We start from the raw sequence: 2,776 nt of genomic DNA, 5'->3' as shown, positions 1-2,776 counted from the left end.
CAAGCTAGAAGAGAGTGGGGGCCAATATTCAACATTCTTAAAGAAAAGAATTTTCAACCCAGAATTTCATATCCAGCCAAACTAAGCTTCATAAGTGAAGGAGAAATAAAATACTTTACAGACAAGCAAATGCTGAGAGATTTTGTCACCACCAGGCCTGCCCTAAAAGAGCTCCTGAAGGAAGCACTAAACATGGAAAGGAACAACCGGTAGCAGCCACTGCAAAATCATGCCAAATTGTAAAGACCATCAAGGCTAGGAAGAAACTGCATCAACTAATGAGCAAAATAACCAGCTAACATCATAAGGACAGAATCAAACTCACACATAACAATATTAACTTTAAATGTAAATGGATGAAATGCTCCAATTAAAAGACACAGACTGGCAAATTGGATAAAGAGTCAAGACCCATCCATGTGCTGTATTCAGGAAACCCATCTCACATGCAGAGACACACATAGGCTCAAAATAAAAGAATGGAGGAAGATCTACCAAGCAAATGGAAAACAAAAAAAGGCAAGGGTTGCAATCCTAGTCTCAGATAAAACAGACGTTAAACCAACAAAGATCAAAAGAGACAAAGAAGGCCATTACTTAATGGTAAAGGGATCAATTCAACAAGAAGAGCTAACTATCCTAAATATATATACACCCAATACAGGAGCACCCAGATTCATAAAGCAAGTCCTGAGTGACCTACAAAGAGACTTAGACTCCCACACAATAATAATGGGAGACTTTAACACCCCACTGTCAACATTAGACAGATCAGTGAGACAGAAAGTTAACAAGGATACCCAGGAATTGAACTCAGCTCTGCACCAAGCGGACCTAATAGACATCTACAGAACTCTCCACCCCACATCAACAGAATATACATTTTTTTCAGCACCACACCACACCTATTCCAAAATTGACCACATAGTTGGAAGTAAAGCTCTCCTCAGCAAATGTAAAAGATCAGACATTATAACAAACTGTCTCTCAGACCACAGTGCAATCAAACAAGAACTCAGGATTAAGAAACTCACTCAAAACCGCTCAACTACATGGAAACTGAACAACCTGCTCCTGAATGACTACTGGGTACATAACAAAATGAAGGCAGAAATAAAGATGTTCTTTGAAACCAACGAGAACAAAGACACAACATCCAGAATCTCTGGGACACATTCAAAGCAGTGTGTAGAGGGAAATTTATAGCACTAAATGCCCACAAGAGAAAACAGGAAAGATCCAAACTTGACACCCTGACATCACAATTAAAAGAACTAGAAAAGCAAGAGCAAACACATTCAAAAGCTAGCAAAAGGCAAGAAATAACTAACATCAGAGCAGAACTGAAGGAAATAGAGACACAAAAAACCCTTCAAAAAATTAATTAATCCAGGAGCTGGTTTTTTGAAAGGATCAACAAAATTGACAGACCACTAGCAAGACTAATAAAGAAGAAAAGAGAGAAGAATCAAATACACACAATAAAAAATGATAAAGGGGATATCACCACCGATCCCACAGAAATGCAAACTACCATCAGAGAATACTACAAACACCTCTACGCAAATAAACTAGAAAATCTAGAAGAAATGGATACATTCCTCGACACATACACCCTCCCAAGACTAAACCAGGAAGAAGTTGAATCTCTGAATAGACCAATAACAGGCTCTGAAATTGTGACAATAATTAATAACTTACCAACCAAAAAGAGTCCAGGACCAGATGGATTCACAGCCGAATTCTACCAGAGGTACAAGGAGGAACTGGTACCATTCCTTCTGAAACCATTCCAATCAATAGAAAAAGAGGGAATCCTCCCTAACTCATTTTATGAGGCCAGCATCATCCTGATACCAAAGCCTGGCAGAGACACAACCAAAAAAGAGAATTTTAGACCAATATCCTTGATGAACATTGATGCAAAAATCCTCAATAAAATACTGGGAAACCGAATCCAGCAACACATCAAAAAGCTTATCCGCCATGATCAAGTGGGCTTCATCCCTGGGATGCAAGGCTGGTTCAATATATGCAAATCAATAAATGTAATCCAGCATATAAACAGAACCAAAGATAAAAACCACATGATTATCTCAATAGATGCAGAAAAGGCCTTTGACAAAATTCAACAACGCTTCATGCTAAAAACTCTCAATAAATTAGGTATTGATGGGACGTATCTCAAAATAATAAGAGCTATCTATGACAAACCCACAGCCAATATCATACTGAATGGGCAAAAACTGGAAGCACTCCCTTTGAAAATGGGCACAAGACAGGGATGCCCTCTCTCACCACTCCTATTCAACATAGTGTTGGAAGTTCTGGCCAAGGCAATTAGGCAGGAGAAGGAAATAAAGGGTATTCAATTAGGAAAAGAGGAAGTCAAACTGTCCCTGTTTGCAGATGACATGATTGTATATCTAGAAAAGCCCATTGTCTCAGCCCAAAATCTCCTTAAGCTGATAAGCAACTTCAGCAAAGTCTCAGGATACAAAATCAATGTGCAAAAATCACAAGCATTCTTATACACCAATAACAGACAAACAGAGAGCCAAATCATGAGTGAACTCCCATTCACAATTGCTTCAAAGAGAATAAAATACCTAGGAATCCAACTTACTAGGGACGTGAAGGACCTCTTCAAGGAGAACTACAAACCACTGCTCAATGAAACAAAAGAGGATACAAACAAATGGAAGAACATTCCATGCTCATGGGCAGAAAGAATCAATATCATGAAAATGGCCATACTGCCCAAGGTCATTTATAG

Source organism: Homo sapiens, chromosome 4 (assembly GCF_000001405.40).
Source record: "Homo sapiens chromosome 4, GRCh38.p14 Primary Assembly".
In the NCBI taxonomy this organism is placed as follows: Eukaryota; Metazoa; Chordata; class Mammalia; order Primates; family Hominidae; genus Homo; species Homo sapiens.
The sequence above is the reverse complement of the archived record's forward strand: the minus strand, read 5'-3'. Positions refer to the sequence as shown.